The sequence below is a fragment of the Homo sapiens genome, chromosome 12, assembly GCF_000001405.40.
Source record: "Homo sapiens chromosome 12, GRCh38.p14 Primary Assembly".
In the NCBI taxonomy this organism is placed as follows: domain Eukaryota; kingdom Metazoa; phylum Chordata; class Mammalia; order Primates; family Hominidae; genus Homo; species Homo sapiens.
The window spans coordinates 13,617,302-13,644,287 of record NC_000012.12 but is presented as its reverse complement, the minus strand read 5'-3'; the positions used below and the strand labels follow the sequence as shown (position 1 = coordinate 13,644,287).

At 41.0% G+C, this 26,986-nt stretch overlaps 1 protein-coding gene and 1 long non-coding RNA gene across 5 annotated transcripts in view; one reads left to right on the top strand and one right to left on the bottom strand.

Moving 5' to 3' along the window:
* Positions 1-26,986, top strand: part of GRIN2B (glutamate ionotropic receptor NMDA type subunit 2B) — a 444,798-nt gene that overhangs the window by 337,847 nt on the left and 79,965 nt on the right. The window lies entirely within an intron of this gene.
* Positions 24,217-26,986, bottom strand: part of LOC105369668 (uncharacterized) — a 38,041-nt gene continuing 35,271 nt past the window's right edge. For all 3 annotated transcript variants that reach the window (XR_001749013.2, XR_931373.3, XR_931372.3), the window contains one exon: positions 24,217-24,506. This is a non-coding gene — a long non-coding RNA (uncharacterized LOC105369668). The remainder of the gene's footprint in view (positions 24,507-26,986) is intronic.

The following is a 26,986-nucleotide window of genomic DNA, read 5'->3' as shown; positions in this document are numbered from 1 at the left end:
ATTCAAGACCTCTCATGTGGATGTACAAGGACATTAATGTTTTTTCATGCCAGTCAACACAATATTCATTCAACAGCCTATGGATCAAGGAAAAATTGTAACTTTCAAGTCTTATTATTTAAGAAATACATTTCATAAGGCTATAGCTGCCATATGTAATGATTCCTCTGATGGATGTAGGCAAAGTAAATTGAAACCTTCTGGAAAGAATTTGCCCTTTTAGATGTCATTAAGAACATTCGTGATTCATGGAAGGAGGTCAAAATATTAACATTAACAAAAGTTTAGAAAAAGTTTATTCCGGCCCTCATGGATGACTTTAAGGAATTCAAGACTTCAGTGGAGGAGTTAACTACAGATGTGGTGGAAACAGTATGAGATCTGGAATTAGAAATAAAGCCTGAAGATGTGACTGCATTGCTCAAACTCATGATAAAACTTGAGGAAATGAGGAGTTGATTCTTACAGATGAGCAAAGAAAGTGTTTTCTTGAGATGAAATCTATTCCTAATGAAGATGCCATAACATTGTCGAAATAACGAAAAAGAATTTAGAATATTACATAAACTTAGTTGATAAAGCAGTAGTAGGGTTTGAGAGGATTGCCTCCAATTTTGAAGGAAGTTCTGTTGTGGGTAAAATGCTATCAAATAATGTAGCATGCTACAGAGAAATCTTTCATGAAAGGAAGAGTCAATTGTTGTGGCAAACTTCAGTGTTGTTTTATTTTAAGAAATCGCCATAGTCACCCCATTCTTCAGCAACTACTACCCTGATCAGTCAGCAGCCATCAACGTGGAGGCGAGATCCTCCTCCAGCAAAAAGATCACAACTCACTGGAGGCTCAGATGATCCTTAGCATTTTCTAGCAACGAAGTATTTTTAAATTAAGGTATATGAATTGTGATTTTAGACATAATGCTATTGTACACTTAACAGACTACAGTATAGTATAAATATAACTTTTATATGCACTTGGAAACAAAAATTTGTGTGACTTTTTTATCATAATACTTGCTTTATTGTGGTGGTCTAGAACCAAACCTGTAATATCTCCTAGGTACACCTGGTACTAAGAATTTGACTTCTTCAAAATTATTCTTTTCCAGACTCAGATTCAAGTATCCTTTAGAAAATAGCCTTTATATATTTCCTAAAGAAAATTATTTACACATTTCCAGTGTAAGAAATTTTAGAATAACTTTCGTCTTCACAGACTAAGTTGATGGTCATTCATCATTGAAAAAGAGACAGTTCTCTATTGTGTGGTGAGGCCTTTAATTGGTTGCTGCTATAATTGATGGTGTATTCTTTTGTGGCATATACTGAGTTTGAAGAATAAGCTAGGTAGCCATGCAATCATAGCATAATGGAAAGATTTCAGAACTCTACGTCCCAAAACCCAAAGCCAAGCCCCAACTCTGCCAAAGCCAGCTCCATGGCCCTGAGCAGTCACTAAACCAGTCTGGGCTTCAGTTTCCTCATTTTTCAAGTGAGAATTCTGAAATATCATATCGGTAGATGGGGACCTCATGAGAAAATAACAGTTATCAGAGTATCTGACACATAACCAGCATTCAAATATTTGAGCACGCACGGAGAAGGAATGCATAAGCAAATAAACATGCATTTTTGGCAAATGAATTCTAGGCAATATGCAAAGCTAGTCTAACTTTTACTTCTTAAATGTGTTTGAAGTTGTAATCTTATATGTAAGTGTCATGGGAATGCTTATAATCAAAGTATACATGTAATAATTAGCCACTGAGAATAATTAGCCCTTAAGAGAGAGTCATAGCTTCTTGGATCTGGAAGGCACATTTGATGAAGATAAGGTCTAGGCTGAGAAAGGTTTGGTGACTCACCCAAGATCATACGCTGAATAGCAGAGATGGAACTAGAAGCCAGCACCTTGCCTCCTACTTAGTGCTCCTTCAGCAAGGCAGAGTGTGCCCACAAGTGATTCTCAGGGAAGAATGGTGAAAATAGGTACTGACTTTCATAATCAAAATAATGAGTTGGGGTTTTTTTAAGTTACATTTTAGTTTAGTTTAGTTAGCTAGCTTGTTTGTTTGTTTGTTTGTTTGTTTGTTTGTTTTGAGACAGAGTCTCACTCTTGTCTCCCAGGCTGGAGTGCAGTGGCGTGATCTCGGCTCACTGCAACATCTGCTTCTGGATTAAAGCGATTCTTGTGCCTCAGCCTCCTGAGTAGCTGAAATTACAGGTGTGCGCTACCATGCCCAGCTAATTTTTTGTATTTTTAATAGAGACAGGGTTTCATCACATTGGCCAGGCTGGTCTCGAGCTCCTGACCTCAGGTGATCCACCTGCCTTTGCCTCCCAAAGTTCTGGGATTACAGGCATGAGCCATCACGCCTGACCTTAAGGTTACATTTTGAGAATGACTTTGATTAATTAAATTTCACTTGTATAGAAATACAGCCTTGAATTGCCAAAAATGTTAAAAATTCTAGCCAAGTAATTCCAGATGCTGAAGAAGGAGGCCTATATTTTCTAAACTGAACTTCATTAAAGCACCTGCCTATACATTTCCTCTAATGAGTAAACACTAAAAATGGTGCTGCACAGGGCTCAGTCCTGGATTCATTTCTAGTTAAGATGATCATCCATGACTTTGTTACCGAAACAGCATACTCATTAAGTTCATAGATGAGACTGAATTTAAAGTGTAGGCTAAAGTCTTGGGGGATGCAATTAGAATTGAAAATGACCTCAACAAATTGGACAAGTAATCAGAAACTAACAGGATGAAGTTCAATAAAGACAAGGGCAAAAGGAAGTCAAGAACTCAGAGAAAATAAAGACAGAGAAGTATAAGACATGGAAATGGCAAGTCAGGCTGAGAGCTACCCAAAGATACATGGGTTACCATGAACCTCAAATTAACGATGCAAGGCTGGGCCCAGTGGCTCACACCTGTAATCCCAGCACTGTGGGAGGCTGAAGTGGGAGGATCACTTGAGGTCAGGAGTTCAAAACCAGCCTGGCCAACGTGGTGAAACCCCCATCTCTACTAAAAATACAAAAATTAGCTAGGTGTGGTGGCAGGCACCTGTAATCCCAGCTACTTAGGAGACTGAGGCAAGAGAATTACTTGAACCCAGGAGATGGAGGTTGCAGTGAGCTGAGATTGTGCCACCGTCTGGGTGACAGAGCAAGACTTCATCTAATAATAATAATAATAATAATAATAAGCATGATACAATTAAGTAGCAGGGTTTAGCTTATATTCAGAGTTCTATGTTTTCTGGAAAGGAAAACTATGGTTCCGAAGTTTTTATGGAAGGTTTATACCCTAAATGGTTCTTCTCACAACAGAGTTGTGTCCACCAATAAGTAACCTGGTGTAACAACTAATGGTTACTATTGCTCACAAATTTTTAAAAACTTCAAATTTTTTTTAAACCTCATTATCTTCTGGTTACTTGGGTAGGTAATGAGTGCTGTCCTTACCTACTCGACCTAGGCTCCATCTCAATCACACATTTTGGTTCCTGCAGGTACAGGGAAATTTGGCTATGCCTTGGCCCTAAGCTTCTCATTCATAATAGATAGTTCAGAATGGTTCAAAGTATTTAATAGTGTTGTTATTACATTTTTTAGAATCAGCCATCACTGTGATGCTTGAACGTTTTGTCAACATGCAACATTCTGTAATGTCTAGTTATTTCTACTTAAAGCCAGATTCGGAATAAAGGAGCATAGAACATGAGGAGAATCCAGTCAAAGACAAACTATACAATAGAGAGGGGGAATGAATTGGATGCTGAGCCAGGACCAGAGACAACAGCTATGGGGAATAACAGACAGAAGGCAAGATCAATGTGTGAGACAAGATAGGCTTAACAATAGCAGGGCAAGGGGCAGTATGGAAGCAGGGGTTTTGACTATCACTTATGAACGTCCTACTTCCAGATAAAGTCCTAAACTGAATCTACACAGGCTATCTCATTTAATATTCAGATCTACATATAAATATAGTTGATATCTACATTTTTTTCTTTTTGGTTATTTTAGAGACAGGGCCTTGCTCTGTCATCCAGGCTGGAATACAGTGGCATGATCATAGCTCACTGCAGCCTCAAACTCCTGGGCTCAAGCAATCCTCCCACCTCAGACTCCCAAGTAGCTGGGACTACAATCATGTACCACCATGCCTGGTCTTGTATCTACATTTTACGTCTACCAGGGCCTGGTATCCCTCTTCCTCAAGGAAGTGCAGAATAGTTATTTTTCCAATGATACCATAAGTGGAAAAACTAGCATTTGAACCAGGTTTATGTGACTTCAACATCTCTATTTTTTCAACTCAACTGATTTGCCTCTAAAAGTGTAAAAAGAAGAAGAGAAGGTGAAGAGTAAGAGGCGGAGGAAGTGAAAGAAAAGAACATGGGAAATTTAATAAGGGAAAGGGATGGAGAGAGAAAAAGATGAAAAAGAAAATGAGTAGAGGAAGGAGAGAAGAAAAGACAAAAGAAGCAACAATAGGATAAACAGGTAAGAAAGAGAGGAAATAAAGGCTCCAGTGAAATGAAAGAAAAGAAGTGTGGAACCCCAGCAGAGGATGCAGTATGCTTCTGATAAGAGCATTCTGAGTGCTGATCAGGTCATCTCTCTTCTGGGGCACATTATGCTTTTCCAATCTTCCTTGAGTACTGGGTCCTGTTGAGAACTGCAGAATTTTCAGGAGATAAAAAGAACCTTGTGAATGTCTATTGGAAATCAAGAGAATGATTATAAGGCCAGTAAGTGGAACACGTGTGGGAACGTAAAAGGAGATGGGACATTGAACGTTGAGAAGTGACCTATTAATGGTCTTCGGGTATGAAAAAGCTATTAACACAGGGACTGCTGAAAACTGCAGGATTTATCTGGCATTAGAACTGACCTCTTCAGTGTCTATGAACACTGTGACTGCTTTTACTGCCTCTACCACTGCAGAATCTTTGTATTTTTATGACCCATCCAAGCGCTATCTGGCACTAGGGTCTGCTGCTGACTGGTTGCCACAGTCTATGAATCAAGGAGCATTGCTCCTGAAATTCTGCTGGGATCTTTAGTAGAATGGGCATGATCTAAACCAGACTACCTTGCCTGGAAAGAATATGGCTTTGGTAGAGACAATTGGATTTGATGTTTTGACACTGCAACTCATTAGCCCAATGACCTTGGGCAACTCAACTTTTCTCCCTCCTCAGTGAAATGGAGAAAACTTAACTTAGCTCACTGTGTATGCAGGCCTTCCTCAGGGCTTGAGAGATAGGAAGCATTCCATAAATGCTATTTTTCATTTCCTTTTTCCTTCCTCTGAGGTACAACAAACGTGCAAAGAGGGGCTCATCTTCACCATGGGTTGTCATAATTAGGGAACCAGGAGTAAGGTAACTGGGGTAAGAAATGGGGTAATGTCCAGAAAATTCAGACCCTTCCATTTCCATAGATGGAGTAGGATGGAATTTGCCATGCTGAGGTCACCAGGAATACACAGTTCTCTGGGTAACAGGACTTCTTGGAAGCTTCCGCCAACCTTATTTTCCAAGCAGTTTTTTAGTGTCAAGGGCTGACATCTGTGTCCTAATACTTACATTTTGAGGACAGAACCATTTTGAAATGAGAGTTCAAACAGAGATGGACTCATGTACCTCCAGAGGTACATTGAATTTGCAAGTGAAAAAGATCCTTTCTTGTGTTTTGAGTACCAGATGGAAAACTGAAGCCCAGCTCTTGCCTGTCTTTGGAAAGCATGACTTTTCCCTAGTGATACTTTCTACAGTCCATGGTCAGTGCTCAAGGGCTGCCTCTGCCAATAACCCCCTTCTGTTTGCATGGACATTTCCATTCACATTCATTCAGTATGTACTTATGCATTCACGTGGACATGTCTTGGTTTTGGTTTACTTCTTGCAAAAACAAAAATCACTGAGCTCAAAATCCTTTAATTATATGATTGTTATTTCCAGGTATTGTAGGGACTAGTCTCTTATACGACTTTTCTTTCAGTAACCTTGTGAACAATAGTGTGAAAAACAGGGTCAAGGGAGGTGCCCTTGTCTGAGAAGTTGTCTCTTGTGTACTTAAACCATTGGAAATGAGCTTTTGCCCAGTTTCTTTGAGCAGACCTTGTTTGTCTCTTTGTTTTCTCTTATGTTGTCTTTGGCTCAGGTCAAGGAGTACATAACTCTCACCATCTGGGACAGCAGAAAGATGACAGCAGGTTTTTCTGAAAAGTAGAAACCTTCCTTTCCACTTGAGTGAGAAATCTAATCTCGTTTCTTTTAAATCCCCTTTGCCACTCAGACACATAACACTTATTTGCAGGTCAGTAACAGCATTTTGGCCTAGACTCTTAACCAAGCTCTGTTTGAGTTGGTGAAACAATTCACTGATTGTTAGTAAATAAGTAAAGCCTGGGCCTTATTTATATGGTACACAAAGTAGACAGTAAAGGGAGAAGAATGCTGAAATAGTAGGTGGATGATTTGAATAAGTTTCTTAATAGATGCAGTTTCTCTCTATATTCTAAGGGTATAGTGTCCTAAATAGAGAAGAAAACTAGTAAATCTTTTCATCAGGGTCCTGCTTACTATTAGGTTATGAATGATAATAATTTGTTAGCTTAGGTAAGGCCCTGTGTCGTGATTATCGTTATCATTTTGAGAGAATTCTGACTACTCCATGGACTATTTTTTGCTGCAAGTGCAAACTGTATGGAAATTGTGACATTTCCATTCACTGGTTGGTGCCAAAACCTTTACTGGTGATGGAATATCTCACTTAAGAAGACAACTGATATTTTTCTTGAGGAAATGTACACAGGTGTGTAATTAAATTTCACACTGTCCTTTTCTATACTTACATTTTTTAACCTACTCAACATGGGCCATGAGTGTTATGATTAAAAACATACAAAGGGGAACAGTGAGCATAATAACCAATGGAGGTTCATCCTTCAGGTTTCCACTGAAACATCAGTTACCTACATCTAGATTAATTCCTCTTCTTGCATACTACCCTGCAACTCTGCCTATTTTCTCTTTAGCTCTCAAAACTCATATAATTTCTCATCTATTGCCTGAATTTGGCCAATGAGTACAAGATTATAAAATCCAGTCTTTCAACTTGCAAAATATTCTAAATGTCAATGTCTCTCAAATTTGTATCATCAGTTTTGAAGCCCAGACTCTTATGCCCACCTACTCATTAATATTTCTACTGAGATATATGATAGGAATCTCAAACTTACCTTGTCCCAATACAAACTCTTGATTTTCTCTGTGAGTCTGTTTCACACCCTCCATGTTCCTCATTTTAGGCAATATTTATTGAGAGTTTCCTTTACTCTAGATGCTGCTCTAAGTGCTTTACAAGTATTAACTTGTTTAATCTTCATAGCAACCCTATGATTTAGGTATTATTAATATCTCCATTTAACAGAGGATGAAGCTGAGATTCAGAGACAGAGATACAGAGGTCATACAGTTCATCACTAGCAGACCTGGGCTTTGATTTGAAGCTGTCTGGTATCAATAACTGTATTGGCCACAGCCTAATCACTGTTCTGCCCAGGATCTGTCTCAGTAAATGTCACCACCATTCACCCAGTGGCTTGGGCCCAAAACCTCAGAGTTATCTTCGATTTCTCTCTTTCTCTCAACCCAATATCAAATTCATTAGCAAATCCTCTTATCTCCACCTGTCAAACATATCCAGAAAGTGGCCACTTCACACTCCCTCTATTGCCATCATCACAGTCACGTCCCCATCACCTGTTCCCTTGTCTTTTGCATCCACTCTTGCTCCCCTTAGTCAATTCCTGTGTAGCAACCAAAGTGCTTCTTTCAAAATGTAATAGTTTGTGTCTGCTATTTGCTCAAAACCCTGCCATGACTTTCCACCACATACAGAATACCCAAAGCCTTACTATGGCTGCAGGCCCAGCATGGTCTGTGTCCTCCCTATCTCACCAGACTGATTTTCTGCCACTCTTCCCTTGGTTCCCCCAAGGTTCTCCAGCTATACTAGCCAACTTGCTATTCCTTAGACACTCCAAGCAAAGCCACATCAAAAGATCTTTGCCCTTGCAGAGTCTTCTGCCTGAAATCCTCTTTCTTCAGATAGTCACATGACATTCACTTTATTCAAGCCTCTGCTCACATGTCACCTCTTTAGAAGACTTTTCTGAACATCCTGTCTAACTCCCATCACACACCATCCTCTTTCCCACCTTTAATTATCTCAATAGCTCTCTCTAGCTGATATTTTGCTATATATTTGTTTATTGTCTTTCTCCCTCACTAGAATGTTCTGGAGGGCAGGGACTAGTTTATCATCACTGTCCTCAGCACCTAGAAAATTCCTGACTCCTGATTGTTGCGAAATAATACCTGCTGAATAAACGAAAGAAGAACTTATATTCTAATTACACATGTGAATACAGGCAACTTCTGCCTAAGCTTAGGTCTCCATCATAAAATCTGTGAGGTATAAAATACCTTTCTCAGCATAATGTAGAGGAAACTCCAATACACACTCATTTCTTCACTGCCACTAACTGCCTAAATGAAACAGAATGCCTTGCTTAAAACAAGCAAATGGCTAGATTCAGGGCACCAAGTTAGAAAGCCCAGGTTCACATACATGCTAATCCTTCTGTGCTTGTACTCTACCTTTTGATTGCTACTTACGTCTGCTATTTCCAACAGAGACTGCAGACACTGGGTGTCTGTTGATTCCAATTAGAAAATTGTCTTCATTGCAAAGCAGCAGGGGGTTGTAGTCCAGATGTGTGTGGCATTTCCATCTTCCTCTGCTCCTCCCAGGACCCTAAACTAGTAACATGGTGTCTGGGAAAGTGATGGAAGAGTAGTGAGAGGGAGAAATGAGATAAGTATCCATTCTTCACCCAGAGGAGCATTTAAAGGCATCTATTGATTTCCCTTCCTGTAGAAAACAGGAAAACATCAAAAGGCCCCCTCTCCATTTCCAGCTGACTTGGTTTCACCATCTCCCCTTCTCAGTGTGAAGAGGTTTCCTCCCATTTTCCTCCACAGTCTACGTTTCTCAGCCTCCTCTCAGCATTAATATTCCATCAGACCCCAGAATGAACACTCCGAGTAAAGCAGTTTCTGTCCTGCCTTACTGGACCCTCTGTTGGCCCAGGCACCTGAATGAAATCTATCACTCTCTGGGCAGTGCCAGCACGAAAGTGATTTCCATGGATTGGCACTAAGCAGTGAAGTATTGACTAAAAAGAAGAACACAAAGAGGTTAAAGATGCATCATTTGAAGATTGTTACCCTTCTCTTGCTGAATTTTTTCATAGCCTCCCAATAATGCTCATCCTTGGAATGGGCTATACTGCCCAGTCTTCAGTAAAACTCTAGGAAAAATCAAGAAAGTAGCAACGAGTTCAGATAACAGGATCCTAACTATAGCAGGATCTTCAGAAGTTACTGTGATAGTGAGAAACAATGAAACAACACATGTGTAAATAAATAAAACTGTCCCCCAGCCTCACACACCTTCCCCAACCATGCCCAGTATGGCAGAAACTGTTGGGTACTTAACAAAATGTGTTTGTTCACCTTTCTGGGTATACAGATGGACTCTATTTCCCATTTATGGTGAGGTGTGGCCATGTGATGGACCCGTAGCCAACATAATATGGGCAGAAGTGATGGGTGTCACTTCAAAGCTTAGCCCATAAAACCCTCCCCTGACAGCTCAACTACGCTCCTTTTGTCTCTCGCTAGTTGGAATGCAGACACCTCCTAGGGACTTTGGAAGACTCCTGTTGAAGATGGCAGAGTCTCCATTGGCTTGGGTTCCCAAATCACTGCTTAGAAAAGGCTGCCCTGCCAACCTCAATGTGGTTACACGAGCTAGAAATGAAATTCTATTGTGTTGGAATTATAATACATTTCACAGACTATTTGTTATGGCAGTTAGCCTACCATAGTTAATACACTGGAAGTTATAACGTCTTTCTCAATAAGTGTATTTCTCTTTCCTCAGTTTCATTACAAGCTCCTGGAAAGCAGAATCTGTGTATCCCCTACCGTATCCCCTGCAGGATCTCATACAGAGACTGGCACAGGACACATAATTAGTAAATACGTTGGTCAGAGAGATTATGTCTACCTTTTATTCTGGAACATGAGTAGGAACATGGCCAAATCATATGGGTTTTTCATTTTGCTTTGAAATCCATCTTGGGTGTGAAGGATCTTTTATGTATGTATAGCAGCTCAGGACTGGCATGGTCAACGAAGTGTGACACACATTTTTTATTATCCATAAATGGATTATCTGCTGTGACCCAGCTCTTCCATCATTCCGGCACATTCCTCCTGTCAGCAGCTGTGTCGTAGGCGCTGAGAGGGACCCTGAGCCAAGGGAGAATCAGAAACAGGTGGGGTGGGTTTGGGGGTGGGTGCTGGTGTTACTGACTGGGTATGAGTTGTGAATACATCTGCAAGTCAAATAAAATGTTGATTATCTTTTCACTATTATATGCATCTTCTTATTAACTATTATGAGACATAATCAAGAGTTGACAATTGAAAGATATAAGTTAAGACCAGGTAGGAGCAAATGAAACTTTTTCAAGTCAGGAATATATTAGTTTGGCATGAGCTCTCTTTGAGGAAACAAGAGACATTTTATTTCTACCAGCTGGCTGCAGGTCAGGCAGGCGATACCTGGTAAATATTAAAATCTTTGTTGTAGAAGGGGATGAGTTTTACCCTGCATCCTTGATTACTCCAAAGTAAACTTCCAGCCTTTATCCTTAGTGGCACAGGCCAGTATCCTCATGAACACCCCTACCACCATTACCTCCTACTTTTCTCCCTGTCTCCAAAGACTCACTTTTGGAAAATGGTTGTGTAAACCAGCAGTTCTCAAACATTAGCATGCGTGAGGCTTTGTTAAAACCAGATTGCTGGGTTCTGCCCACAGTTGCCAATTCAGTAGTTCTGGAGAGATGCCTGAGAATGTGCATGTCAAATGATGCCCATGCTGCCGGTCTTGGGGCCACACTTTGACCTTCACTGGTCTAAACCCCTCAACCTCATTCTATATCAGTGAAGGAATCTACAAACATGCACAAGTGCAACAGCCTTACAAGGTCAAGGATCCCAGCACCTGGGAGTGACTTTATGTGACTTCCCTTTCCCATGAAGCCAGATTGAGGCTGTGAAGGAGGAGTGGAGTTCTCAGGGCAGCTCAGTGAAATGTCACCTGACAGCAGGGACCCACACAGTCTCTCTTTTGCTTCTCCAAATGTGTTCCCTCATTTCCCCACTAGGAAAATCAATAGGTTGCCACAGATGTGTGGGTCTCAATTCTGGTGCCCATTAGAATCACCTGCTTAGCGATTCCAATATAATTGGTCTGAGATAGGTCCTAGGTATCAGCATTTTAATCACATTACAGGTGATTCTAATATATACACTGGTTGAAAACCACAGACGTTTTCTAGGTCACTTCCAGATCTACCAGTCTACCTGCACACCCTCCCTCCCCGTGGAATCCCACCTTGTCTACCTTTGCTTAGCCCTCAACCCTCCAGCCTAGCTGAACTCTTTGCCCTTACCTCTCTCCACATACATTATATTCCATTCACCCTGGGACACAAAGTTGCTTCAAACCTCATTAACTTCCCTGCTTAGGCAGAGGATGAGTCCCAAACAACTGCAGAAATTCACTGATAAAAATATAGACAACAAAATAGGAGCAGTTCTAGAACCCCTGTGAAAAGTTAACTGTGGAAGCAGTGGGGGAACCCATTCCTGGAAAGTAACTTTTACTCATAAAGTCACACCTGAGCCCGAAGAGTACACATTACACTTAATATTGGCTGCATATTATCTATTCTCCTGGGCTGGCCCAACCCCATTTTGTGGTGATTCCTGCAGATTGACATGTACTTTCTATTTACAAGTGACTCATGTGATAACATTTCTGCAAAGATGGTGGCTTTTGCCTGATAGGAATTCAAGTGCTACCTTAATTTTCTGTTTTACTTATCTTGGTACAGATGTGAACTTACCAACTGTTAGCCTAACTTACTTTCATTTCATTCTCTTTTGTAAACTGAACTGGAAGCACTGGAACCTTCTTTTCTGAACTTCACTTGAAGCTTTGGTTGGTGGAGATTTTCCAGTTGAGTTGTCAGTTTTAATAAGGTTATTGTTTGGGGTTTTGTTTTCTTTCAAATGGCTTAAGTTGGAGGGGAAGTCTAGTAATTTAATTCTACCATGTGGTCTGGCCATGAACCCAAGGCCTGAGGACTGGTGCCTTTCTGCTAATTAATTCTCGATGTCAGACATCTGGAAACCCGCCTTTTCTGCCTCATCTGAGTTGACTAATTAATTAAGCTATGTTTGTAAACAGGCGTTTTCTCCTCAGCACTTCTTTCATCATCTGTTTCTTTAGCCACAAGCTGGCAACCCCATTTAATGGTAGACTACCTGGCCAATAATTCTGTTCTTGCACAGGCTGTGGAGGTTCCTTTAGGAGGCCACTTAGCACTGTGCAAGCAGCCCAGGCTTTGGAGTGAGGCAAATCAGGATTTGAATCCAGTTGAGCCATTTATTAATTATGTGACCACAGGCAAGTTACCTGGCATCTTAACATGTCAGTTTCCCCATTTTCTCCCTGCAAAACCTACCACTTAGCCCAGTGTCTGGCACATCATTTGTTACTCTCTAAACACTGAGTATTTTTCTTTTTTTTCTTTTCTTTTTGGCTGGATGGGAGCATTCTTGCCAACTTCCTTGCCTTTGTCCAGGGAGTAGCTAGTTTCAAGGCACTTCCACAAATATTTTCACCTTAGTTTCTCTCAAACCTATATGAGGGTATTTTGGCAAATGTTTTTACCCTCATATTTTACAGTTAGAGAATCAGTCTCTGCAAGTTTATGTGCCAACATCCCATGGGCAGTCACAGACAGGGCTTGGCCAGGTCTTCATGCTCTTGGCGAAAATCTCTTGCTTTGAGACCAGATATCCGCCTGCCCTTCAGTGGAGGATGTGAGACTAGATTATAAACACTGGGAGGAAAAAGTTGCACAAGATATACTGAGAGCACCTGATATGGTTTGGCTCTGCGTTGCCAACCAAATCTCATCTCAAATTGTAATCCCCATGTGTTGGGGAGGGACCTGGTGGGAGGTGATTGGATCATGGGGGTGGCTTCCCATGCTGTTCTCATGATAGTGAGGGAGTTCTCATGAGATCTGGTGGTAAAAGTGTTTGACAGTTACCCGCTCCTGATCTCTCTCTCCTGCTGCCACGTAAGATGTGCCTTACTTCCCCTTCGCTTTCCACCATGATTTTGAGTTTCCTGGGGCCTCCTCAGCCATGCAGAATTATGAATCAATTAAACCTCCTTTCTTTATAAATTACCCAGTGTAAGGTAGTACTTTTTAGCAGTGTGAGAATATTGCTGTGTAACAACCACCTCGAAACTTAGTGGCCTGAAACAGCCATCATTTTATTACTCAGCCTTCTTTGGGTCAGCAGTTTGAATTAGAATAAGTTTGAATTAGTGGTTTTTGGGTTGGTCTCCAGGGGGTCACTTATCTGATGAGTCTACCAAGGCTGAACCATCCAAAATGGCCTAATTTGTGGGTCTAGTGTTGGTACTGGGGATCAGATGAGCCTCATTCTACGTTTGGTTGTCCTCAAGGAGGCTGGCCCAAGTTTTTTCAGCATTGTCAGCAACATTCCAAGAGGACAAGACAAGACCCACTGACTATCGCTCATCCAAGTCTCTACATGTGTCACATTTTTCGATATCCTATTGGGCAAAGCAAGTCACAAAGCTAAACTCAGAGTCAGTGTGAGAAATGATTGGAAAAGGGCATGAATACTGGGATATCTGATTCATTTAGTTACCACTAATATAAGAATCTACCATAAATGGATATAAAAATAATATCTACCTTATAAGACTATTCTGAAAATTAAATTTCATACTGCATGTGTTTTGCTCAGCATCACCTCTGACATACCAAATGCTCAATAAATATTAGCTAGTATTGGTAGAATCATCATTATCTATTATTAGCTGCCAGGAGCAGGTTCCCCTTTTGAAATCTTGCTGTTATGTGTTTAGCTAACATTTATTTAGTGCTTACCGTGGTAATCTTCCTTATGCTAGGTATTGGGGATAAAAGAAAATGATAATATTCAGTCCCTGCCATTGAGGAACTCATAGTCTACTGGAGGAGACCAGACACATAAGCAGTTAGATATAAGATATCATGGCAAGTTGTGAGGCCGAGATATGCACACGGTATTTTGGCAGTACAAAGGAAGGATACCTAACCCCTTAGTCCAGCCAAGGGGTGTGGTAAGGAAACACTTCTTGGCATAGATGCTACTGAGCCGAATCCTAAGGGAAGAGCTGTGTCATTCAGAAGACCAGGGGTTTAAAATAGAGGATTTTGGCATGAGTAAAGACATTCAGATAAGAAAGAGCATTCTGTGTTATCAAATGAAATTAAAAGGCTAGGAATCTGAAGAGATAAGCCAAAAAAGAAACAAAGGCAGGGAGGCAAGAGAGAGAGAGGAAAAGAGAGAGGGAGAGAAAAGTAAAGAAAGAGGAGAAGGAGGAGCAAGAGGAGGGAAGGAGGGAAAGAGGAAGGGAAAGGAGAAAGGGTGAAACGTGGGGAATAAATGTGTAATTTTCCAAAGTTAGATATTATTCTATAGGTGAATGAGGAGGCCCTGACAGCCTTTGAGAAGGGTAAGGATGCAGTCAGATGTGCAGTTTAGAGCAATCACTCTGGGGGCCAAGTGGAGCATGAATGGAGGTGGGGAAACCATTAGGAGTAATGCAGAAATCCAGGCAAGAGGGAGAGTATCTGTGAATGGAAGTCAAGGTAGGATCCTTTCTATTTCCACCCTCCACAGCTGAAGAAAAGCATTTCCGTGAGAGATGCAATGACCTTGGATATCCTAGTTTGGGAGCCTATAGTCTAGAATATCTGACAAAAAACTATTTTCTTCACTCTTTACAGATATTCTTATCTACCAAATTGACCGTTATTGTCTAGAAGAGTGGTCGACCCTGGGCAATCTTAGAGTGAGTGTTATTGTTAAGTATTTAGTCTTGTTTTGGATGGCCCTGGTGAGGTGTGAGGAAACTGTTCTATGAATTTGACAGGTCACCTTAGAGAGAACAGTAAGTACATTCTTAGACACAGATCCTTCAAGCCTTTTTTTTTCTTTGTGGTCTAGGCTTCTAAAATTATAATGTATTTTAAATGACTTTGACCTCTTCCATTTGTGCTCCCTCATTGCCTCAGTAATTCTTATGTGTCTCTTTAATGTTTATACCTTGTTTCTTTTCATATGTATTCACAACCTTATGTCTTGAATTTCCTGGATGATCACACTTTCAACTACATTGCTTCATTGTCCCAGAAAGCACATTCATAATTATCAGTGTTTACATTCAGATTTGTGGTCTGGAAAATATTGTCATTATACTTATGCAATATGTCCCTTTTCCAGAATGCTTCTCATTACTTTCTTTCTGATACTTCTGTATGGGCACCCTGCAGTGATAAAAGCAGCTCTCTGCAGTCTCATCTGATGATGTCCTGCTCTAGTCCAGCTACATGTTCTAGCTCCAAAGAAATTTGCTTGAGAACCAATTTTGCTTGTTTGATTGGTTTACTAAATGTGCAATGATTTGCATCACTTTTCATTAGTGTCCTGAGCTATATCTGAGAGGGGTTAGTTTAGTATGTCTAAGATCTATCAGTAGATTCCTGCATATTTTCAAGTAAACTTTTCTTTAAACATATTGAAAACACTTGAAATTCAGAGAAGGATCATGAAGAGGGTGTAATGAGACTGATCAGGAGGCAAGGGGTAGAGCAAGCTGGGGACCAGTCCAGTAAGCCTTGTTTGAAGACCAGTATAATCATTTCTGACTCCCAGGGGTCTTCTGCAACAACCTGGTGCCTTCTGCATGGTGGCGCTGTTTCCACTCAGTGTCTTTCATCCTCCTGCTTCTTTGGGCCCCTAGACCATCTAATGCTATGGCAGGCCCAAGGCACACAGAACTGCCAAGGAGAATAGGACAGGTGGGTATTCTAGATCAGCATCATTTATTAGACATTATTATGACATGCCTGATACTGTTCTCTGCATTTTATGTGCCTTATGGCACATAATATTAATATTTGTGGCATAGAGGAGTGGTAAAAAACAAAGCCTTTGGTGTCAGACTGCCTGTGTTCAAATCCTGTTTCTGCCACTTACTTGGTTTGGGAACCCCTAAGTGGGGAGTCTTAAAGGACCCTTCTGGTTATGAGCTCTTAATCCTGGGAAGGGTCTTGTAGAAGGAGTGCATGGGGAATAGAAGAGGAGACGGAAGGCATGCAAATGACTGCACCTAGCAGCAGGGTCTGGCACATGGGCCAGGTGGTAAGAGATGCCAAGTGACCTGCTGAGTGCGTTTGGCTGTGACTGTAGACTCTGTGGCTGTCCAAGCACCCCCACAAGGCCTGAGGGCCAGGAAGAGAATGCAGCCACAGGTCACTAACCAAACAACAGGAACTCTAGCCGATTGGCCCTGCCTGAACCCAAGACTCAAAGAGCTTGAGTGGAGGCCCCCTGCTGCTTCTTCCTTTGGAGAGACACTTGTTTGGAAATGGCTGAGGAATCTGCCTGTCACTTGCAACCCAACTTACTTCTTGGCTTCTGAGATGTTGACAGAAATTGGCGATGATAAATGTCACTACTGCCACCACAACCACTGTCATTTACTCAGGGCTCACCATGCTCCAGGCACTTTGCAAAGCACTTTATGTACATTATTTTATTTAATTTTCATCAGAACCCCACAAAGATAGTTATATTGCCATTTATGAATGAAATACACAGTACATTATGAGAACTGTTTTGATTATAAAGAATAGACACCCAACTTGAACCAGCTTAAGCAAAAGACAACTGTATGATAGGATACTGGATCATCTCAACAGAACTCACAATGGGAATGTGGTTGAGCCCCCAGAATAGCCATAAACCGGGACTCTGATGCTGTCATATATCTTGCTCATACTCTCACTTGTATTTACTTTTCAGTAGCTTCTGCCTTCATTCTTCTCTCCTTCCATAGGTCAGTTTCTCCATAGGCTACAAAACATGGCTGCCCAGGGCTTCTGAATTTTACATATTATAGCTTATGCCACTAGATTGAGACTGACTTAACATTCTCCTGGGTCCTACCAAAAATCCCGAGGATTCGACCCAGCCAGTCAGGTGCCCCACCCTTCAACCTCTCAGCTATGGCTGGGTCAGTGAGTAGACCAGGAGGTGGAATAAAATGGCAACCTCCACAGGATCACATGGGTGGAGTTGAGGAAGGGGCAGTTCACAAGAGGAGGAGATAAAGAGCTATGGTGAGGGGGGAGGGGGGAGGGTGGGGGGGAGGGGGGGAGAGTGAGTCAGAAGGAGAGGTAGGGATGGCTGGTTGGTAGCTCAACAGTAGCCATCTACAACACAGGGTTAAAAAGATTAAGGAACTCATCCAGAATCACATGCAACCAATGATGGAAAAGCAAGGATTCAAATTGGGCATTTCTGACTTCAAAGTCTATGTTCCTTACTAATATGACAAATTAGAATAAAGTAGGGTGAATGAATGAGTTCACATACACATACATACATATTTGCCTGAGTACTAATGAAGACCTTGCCAAGTCAGTGCTCAAATCCAGAGAGTCACAGTTCAGAATTGTCCAACATTACACACTTTTGCTCTACCCTCACAACTGTCATTTGAGAATAAAGGTAGAGAGTAATGACAAGGTAACCTGATGACAAGCAGTATCAGTGATTGCAGCCTGTGGCCCAGTTCCCAAAAGCAGATTATAACAGCATCCCTAGAACCCACCCATCATTTTCAGTCAGCAGTTCAGCATCGCTGCTGAGCTGTGTTCTGGAGCAAGCCAAGGCCTTGGGCATGGTGCACACATGTCCAGGAAGAAGTTGATTTAGAGGGAGTGGTCTGTTTGAGTGGTTCCTCACTGTGTCCTGCATGTCCCAGAAGATGGTTTGGGACCCAGTTTTGTTGTTCCAGAAGACAGGTCTTCATTGGAGGAAGGCACATCAAAGGAGAAGGTAGAGCTCGGTTCTCACTGATTGAGCTCCTATAAGTCTAAGAATAGGACTCTGAGGATTATGGCTTCCCAAGGATGGAGAGTTGTGGCTTGGGAGTTTTTGAGCCCTTGAGCCAAGAGGCATTAGATACTTCAGGAAATCCTGTTGAATCTTTCCACCTATTTGAGCCTGTTTAGCAAACTGTTTACAAAATTCTCTGACCTAAAAGAATTAATGCCCTTTTCTAAAATGGCATCTTGTCCCAGGGAGGGGTTTATGACGAGGCACCACCTCGCTCAATGGGACTCTTTGGATTCAAGACCTTGGGTAAATTCAGAAGGGTACTGGCATTTTTATTCCTGTGATTTCTGTTTTTATTTGCACGTGAATGAAAATAATGAATGAAACCAAAAGAACCTCATAGAGTTCGCCCTGATGTTTGGAAAAAATTGAGTTAAAAGCTTGGGAAGTAGAATTTGTTCAGTATTTCCCCCTTGACAATTGCAAGCCACTTGCACAAAAAATTATGTTTCTGGGAGGAAGTCACATTAAGGAGCTGCACTGATGTTTTCAATTGTAGTAGTAATAGTTATAATGAGAAGGAGGAGGAAAAAATAGCAAATACTTGCAGAAAACTAATGAGCCCGGCACAGAGAGATTAAATAATTCATGCAAGGTCACACAGCTTGTCAGTACCCTGCCTCCCACTGCCACCAGCCACCATTCTGCCTATCTGGCCCCCATTGTGAACTTCGGTCGCCACTTGCCATGAATCCTTTAGACACAACCATCAGGGATCTTGGGAGACTAGGGTGAGCTGAAACAGACTCTTCTACTCTCTTAGATCACAGTAAGTTTGCAAGGAATATAGAGGTCATAAATATTCTCTTGGTAACATAGCGTGGTGAAAAAAATATGAGCTGCTAGAGTCAAACAAATCAGAGACAAAATTCTGGTCCGTCAATGAGCCTTGGGTTTTTTGGTCTATATTGTAGGCAATTAATAATATCCACCTTTTTTAGTGGCATTGAATTGATAGACCTCCACAAGAAGTGCCTGGCCCTCAGCCTGGTCCCTAATGGCTCTAATTACTCTAATATGATCACATCTCCACCCGTGGTGTTATCTGAAATGACCATAACAGCTCTCTGGTGCTGAGAGAATCAACAACTTCTATTCCTGGCAGGTGAGTCTGCTCTACCTCCCCCATTTTCCCATTCCTTCACTCTCCAGAGTAGGAAAGATGGAAGGAGGATAAGCAGCGAAGAAGAGTCACTCAGAGGGCAGTGCCTAGCAGCAACAATGGGTACACACAGCGCTGAGGGGGCCTGGGCTCTCTTGGAGAGGCAGGGCTCAGCCAGGGATAGCATCTGAGGCCCGAGATGGCAATGGATGTCTCAGTGTCCCTGGGAGAGCCATGCAGGTGCCAGACAGGATTGGCTGGATGGGCTTCCCTTCAGCGTGTGTACCCAGAGACACCGGTCCCCAGCTTAGTAAGTGAAGAGGCAGTCATAGGCCAAAGGCAGTCATGGATCAAATTTAAATATGGAAATTATTTCCAAGCACACTTTTCAAAAACTAGATTTCTAAACCTAGATGGCACTGAATATGCAAATAATTAGGAGAAGAAGCATCAAAGCCATGCCAGTGGCCTTTTTAGATACTGCAGCAGATTGTGCCATTGCACTTAGAGCCATTCACATAGAACTGAGTCTGTCCAGGGTAACTTTATAATCAGGAAGGCTGAAGAGAAACAGAATGAAGCAGGCTTTACATCTTACATCCTTTTCATGGAAGAAAGAACACTGGAGGGAGATCTAGTGGAGGCTTTGTGGAGGGTGTGCAGTGACATCAGTCAATAATTTACTGAGAACATAGTTGTTATTCATGCCAGTACAAGGGACAAAAAAAAGGCAATCTAATATAGTCCCTGCCCTCGAAGGGCTTAAGGACCAGTTCAGAGATATGAATTTTGAAATACAGCTAACATTTTAATATGATAGCCAAAGGGAGAGGTTGACCCACAAAATTATTACAGGAGATCAAATAAGAAAGCTCTTTCTCTGGGCTGGGGTGATCAGGGACAGTATCATGGCAGTGGAGAGGTCTGAGAAGGGCCAAGGAGAATGCAGAACATTCCTGAAACATGGCAAGGGGACAGACCTGCAGGCAGGGGAAGGTCATGTGCAACAACAGAAAGCAAAACGGCATCTCTGTCACATGTAGTATAGGAAAAGCTACATGCAAAAGTATACTAATACCAAAGAAGAACACTTTGGGAATGGGGTAGATTGTTTTACAAGTTAGGTAGGAAACCAACCCTCCATTTAAGAAGAATATTATGTTCTACTGCAAAAGAAAAACAGTAAAATTTTGTGCACAGAAAAAAAGACCAGTCAGAAGACAAATCTCAGAGTGGGAACAATATTTCAAGCATACCTGAGAGATGAAGGGTTACTATCATACTACACCAGGAGCTCTTCTCTATGAATGGATAAGAAAGACAAACAACTCAATAGAAAATGGATAAAAGATGTGACTAGATGGTAAAAGAGGAAAATTTAAATGGCTAAGAGATGTGGAAAGGTGCTTGCGCTCACTGTGAGGCAAGGAGATGAAAATTAGAGCAGGAAGATATTGTGTTTCATTCCTCAGATTGGCAAGCATTTAGTAGTGATAAAAACTTAGTGCTGGTGAGAGTGTGAGCAGGATGCGCTCTTGTGCTTTGCTGATAGGAATTTCAATTGTTGCAAACTGTTGTATTCTGGCACCATTGAGAACATTTAAAAACATACATATCCTTTTGTTCCGCCTTTTCATTTCTGGGAATTGATGCCTTAGAAATACCAAGATATGTATTATGTCTTCTGGTTAATTTTTTGGAAATATCATAAATATCAATAGGGCTATGCTTGAGTAAATAAAGGCACATTCATTATTATAGGCTACTATGCAGTTCTTAAAAGAAGTTAGATCTACTGTTGGAAGAAATTCCACACTGAAGTGGGAAAAGTAAGTGGTAGAGAAATGTGTGTATTATGATTTGATTTAGGAAACACGCATACATACCAAGTCACACAAATCCCCTTCTTTGTATATATGTAGATGTATTTTGAACGGATACAGATAATGCAGGGCCATACAGTGTTAGAATGTTCACTTGGTTACAAAGAAATGAGGGGGAGAGGTAGTGCTGTAGTTTGAATGTGTCCCCCAAAGTTCATTAAGTTGGAAACTTAATCTTCAATGCAACGTTGTTGAGAGGTGGGACCTTTTAGAGGCAATTAGGTCCTGAGGCTCTGCCCTCATGAGTGAATGAATGACATTATCAAAGTAGTGGGTTGGTTATTGAGAGAGTGAATTTGTTATAAAAGTGAGCTTGGCTCTCTCCTGCTCTCTCTCTCACACATACTCTCCTGCCCTTCTGCCTTCTGCGTGGGATGATGCAGCAAGAAGGCCCTTGCCAGATGCCAGCACCTTTATATTGGACTTCCCAGCCTCTAGAAGTGTGAGGGATACATTTAAAAAAAAATAAATTACCCAGTCTGTGTGTTTTTTTTTATAGTAGCAGAAAACAAATTAAAGATAGGTAAATAGAGAAAAACAAAGATTGAGCAAAATGAAGTATTATCATATACTCAAACATTAAAAATCCTCAGAGTTGAGTTAAGATGTATAGCTTTGGGGGTGGGGAAGTGAGGGTGTCCTCCTGTCCTCGGATTTCTGCTCTATTCAGAGTCTGAGGCCTGCCCCGGGGCTGCAGGACAGAATGGGATGCAGAATTTAGGCTGCCTTGCAGAGACTCTGCCTCTTCCTTTAGCTTGCTCAGGGAAATAGCATGTAGCTTTAAGTTTCACATTTTAAAAGTCAGATGAAGGCTTAAAATAAGCAGCAAGTGTTTCATGTTACATCCAGATGTCATCTCAAGCAAAAAACAAAAATGCTTTGATTTTTGAAAAATAACCTTTGACGCCTAAAGAGGCTCTAATAAGTGTTTTTGCTCCAGAATCTTAAAAAATGACTTTCTATGCAGACAAGAGAGGCAGCCCGAGGAGACCGATGTCCTTTGCTAATCTATGCAAGGACTGCAGCAGCCTCAATACCCTGCCCTGGTCCCCTCTCCCTTCTTCACAATGACACATTCGCCCTTCTGCTCACATCAACTGTTCATGGTGGGGGGACAAACGTGGGGGCTTTCAGAGAGGAACACAGTCTCTGTGGTCTTTTTAATGTGTGGCCTTGTCAGGGTGCTAATTGGTGCCAATTTCACTGGCAGTAATGGAGGAATCTGTTAGCAGAAGGAAGACTTTGAAGTCTAAAAGCATTACAGATTAGTTCCCTAGAATTTTCCTACGGGAAGCCTTATGAGCCAAGTCCACTCGAAGGTACCACAGGTTTGTAAGGTAGACTTTCCTTCTGAGGAGAAATTCCCAGCTATTCAGGTGTTCAGCCTGTACCAAGAGAACCAAACCAGAAACTCTAAAACATCACTGTTTTTCTGAAAAAAAAAAAAAAAAAAAAAAAAAAACAAAAACTAGGCAATTTTTTTTTTCTCTTGAAAAAGATGATTTTGGTCCTCAAGAGATCTTTTTAAATGTTAGAATGGCAGATAACTGAATTTTTTGTAGACAGATGTTGTGAAATGTGCTTATGGTAATGATGTTTGTTTAGTTACCTCAAAGGAATTCTGAGTGCTTTACAGTCATTTTCTTCATTATTTCTTAAGGTTTTTTATTTTCCTGATCATATTTTAATCTCAAGCATAAATTCTTCATTCAGTTCTTCTCGCTACATTGTCTCTGAAATATCTCCTGTTAGCCTCATGTTCTACCGCTGTCTGCACTTCTAGGATTGTAGACTCACACCACTTCGGACATCCTGGATGCACTTTCAAGATGTTTGCTTGGTGTCTCCGGCTTCTCTTTCTCTATTTACTATTTTTCATTGCTCTTTCAAACTTTTCCATTTATATTTTTCACCATACTTTCTCCCCCTTGAGAGAAAGATTGCTTGAAATACACCTTGTTCTTCTACATAATTTTTGTTTCCTTTTTTGTTAATTTTAGTTGTTTACTCATTTGTAACCTGCCTTTGCTCCATAAAGAATTGGCAGTGACTATCTAAACATGTTCTTTAACATGAACCCTGTTTGTTGGAATTGGGAATCTGATATTCAGATTTTTTTTTTCAAAAAAGTTTCACCTTTCAGTACTCAAGGAATTTAACTTTCCCTCTTATTTTTTTTTCATTTCCTTGAAGAAACGAAAAAAAAAAATAACGACTTTAAGGCAAGCTCGTATTTTGTAGAAACAAATCAGATACTGCCACCCCTTCAAAAAGTAACCTCTAAAAGCACCTCTTCATCGTGCTTTAATTTGTAGGATGTAGAAAGCCCCTGTCCTAAAGAAATTATGATCATGAAATTATGTGGAAGGCACCTCAGAATGCCACACACCTATTTTTACAGATGCAGAAACTGAGGCTCACAGTGTTTTAGAAATGTGTTTACAGTCTCAGAAATACTCAGAGACATGTTTAGAATTATTTTAATTAAGACAATCACTTGGAACATTTAAAAAATCATTAAAGAAGGTGGTAGATACCATGAAATGATGAATGATTGGGTTCTGGGCAGTGGTGAGCTGGTTGACGTTTAACAACAGGGGCCAGGGCTGGACAGAGGGAGCCTGATTGATAGTGTTTGCCAACTTCACGGTGCCCATGCCAGTTTCAAGCTACCAGCCTGACACCCTTGAACAAGGAGTTGGGAAGAGATGAGCACAATCCAGTCAGCTCTCAAGATTGGCAGAGATCATCCGGCTACAGTGAGCAGGCCCGTAAGGAAGAGAACTGTGCTAGACAATTGCTCCCCATGCCTCAGACCTTACAGGTGTGAAAAATAAGCCATTTTCATTTAGCCTCTGCACCACTCTGTTCCCTCACTCTTGCCCTTTCCTTGGCAGATAAATAACTCTTACCTCCTCAGCTATCATTTACGTTTCAAGCCACAGCTCAAAATGAGGGTCTCTGTGAGATTTCTTCTGATTCTTTTAGAAAACATCACTTCTACTCTGAATGCCGGAGTACTTTATTTATATCTTTTATTACAGTAATTACCAAAGCCTAACTTGTCAATGGATAGTGGATATTAGAGTAATTACCAAAGCCTATTATTGTCGATGGATAGTGTCTTTTCCCTCTAGACTGTCCTTGGAGGAAAAGGAACATGTCTTACTCCTTCATTGTCAGAGAAGCAGTGCAGAGTGGTGGGTAGGAGTCCAAGCTCTGGAGTCAGACTGCTCAGCTTCAAGTCACTTACCGTGGGAGCTTGGGCAAGTCATCAAACTCCTCTGTAGCCATCTGTAAAATGAAACATTAAATGTGAGCTTCAATCTCACAGGCTCACTGTGATATAATGAGATTACTAGATATGGTCAGTGCCTAGCACATCTATACCCTCAACAAATGCTACCTGGTATTGTTACCTCTAGCACATAGCCCAGTGCCTGGCACAGAATCGGTTTGCAGTGGTTGGTGGTTGAAATGAATGGACTTGAAGTAAGGATATTACCCAGCTAACTTGGTAGAAGTTGGGAAAGGGTGTGATAGAGGGAACTGCGTGAACAAACTACTGTTGGGGAAATGAGAATGATATATTTAATAAAAATCAGTAGATTATAGAATTATAGGATCAGAACCCAGTTTTCCAGCTGTGGTATGATGAACACAGAGCAAGGTAGGATCATTCGTACCTTCCCTTCACCCCATATGCTAGATGATGTATGTCTATAAATATACCATTGTTATTGCAATAGCTTTTGTAGACTGCTGATTGAAATATCTCATTTTTGATACTGTGCAATTGCTTTTTAAAACATCAAAATGCTAGATTTTGAGTACAAATACTGTTACATTTCATTCAGTTTGGTTCAGTTCATCATTCCAACTAATTCATATCTCCTCCAAACTTGATTCTGCAATGCAGTTTATCTTTCCTCCTATCTAGTTTTCTGTTGTCTGCAATTTTGTAAGCATGACTTGTATTTTGTTTTCTAAAAGACTACCCAGGCCGCTTCTAAGAACAGAGTCCCCTGATATGACACTAGTGACTTTTTTCTATGTTGGCAGTCATTCATTAAACAATCTCTTTTTTTTCCTTTTTGGGTACAGATTTTAAACTCCTTTCAAATCTATCAAAGTGTGCAATATCCTTATTGTTCACAATAGTATCTGAGAAACTCTGCCAAAATGTTATGTCTGTAGCATTTTTTCCCACAGATATAGTAAGTCTATTAGAAAAGAAAATGCAGCTAGTTCGTTGCAAAGTGTTCCTGATTAATCCATGTTAGCTCTTAATACCAACAACTTCCTTTTCCAAGTTGAACTAAGGATTCATGATGTAAAATAGTGAAGTTAACTGTATCAAGGTAGGCTAGACTCAATGTACAGACCTTGACTATCTAGGTGAGAAATTTGGGCACAATTCTGAGGACAGTGAGAGATTGTTGAAATTTTTGAATCAGGATTATATGACAAAATTGTGTTTTAAGAAAGCCATCTGGCAGCAGTGTCCACAATGGACTCTGGGGGGACCCTTAGTGAGGTTTGAAATTTCCTGCAATAATGTCAGAATGGGCCGCTGGGCTATAATAGGCCAGGCTAGTAGCAATAAAGATGGAAAAGAATAAATTTGGATTTAAGAGAAAAAAAATCAAAAGGGACTGTTGAGGGAAGATGATAGGAAATAAATAAATAAATAAGTACTTTAGGGCTTCTCAACTTTTTACACATTATTGAAGGTGCAGAATATAAACCAGTTTGGCCACTAGGGTAAATAGGCCTATTTGGGGAGGGGGTGACCAATGTCCTGGACCCCCAGGACTGAGTCTCTCCTCTCCCAATTCCTACCTGGCCAAACTGGCAGAGGACATTAGTATCTCCACTGGCTGGAGAGCCATTTGGAAATTTCTGTTTTAGAAATAAGTAGTCTTAGCAATATGAGAAAAAACGGACTTGTTCTAAAATCAGGATCAACAGTTCAGAGAAGCCTATACACATGAAGGAAAGCAAACGTTTGGTTCAGTGCATGATTCTGAACAAAGAAGCAAAACATCATTTATACCCTTGAAAGAAAACCAACCAGCATCAGCCAAACAAGGACTGTGTAGGTACCAAATAAGATAGCCTATGCCACCAAGCCACTGCCTGCATTATAATGATGCAGTAACACAAGGGCAGTGGCTATGCAGGCTACTGGACAAAGAAACCAAGAAGGAGGGAGTCTGGGTTTTGCATTAATATGGAAATCCAAGCCGATTTGCTTGAAAATTTATGAAGTCCTACCAACTTGTTGCTTCTTATTGATTTCTGTAGTTAATAAATTAAGTGGTGCTGTAGTTCCTGGTGCCTCACCTGTTCTACTAATTTGCATTGCTGCATGGAGGAAATCATAGATTGAGAAAATGCAGGTGCTTGCAATCCATAATTCCTTACGATAATTGAAGATGCTCAGTTATAGAAAATAAGCAAGTGTTCCCTCTTTCTCCATTAAACTCAATGAGACAGAGAGAATGAGAACCCCCCAACAAAGCCATGTTGATTCCCTTATAAATAGGAATGAGTGGCTCTTCTGAAAAATAATGGAACCCATACATTTCTCAGGATGGTTGCCAGCAGGCCGCCATGTTCATGATTCAGGGACACTGGCCTTTCACATTGGAGCCCATGTGGATGGTGCTCCATGGTGTTGGGGCACTCAGCCTGTGTGGCCATAGGTGGTGGCTCACAGAGAGACATATCTGATTCATCCCAGGGCTTCCACCCAGCCCAGGAGGTGCACA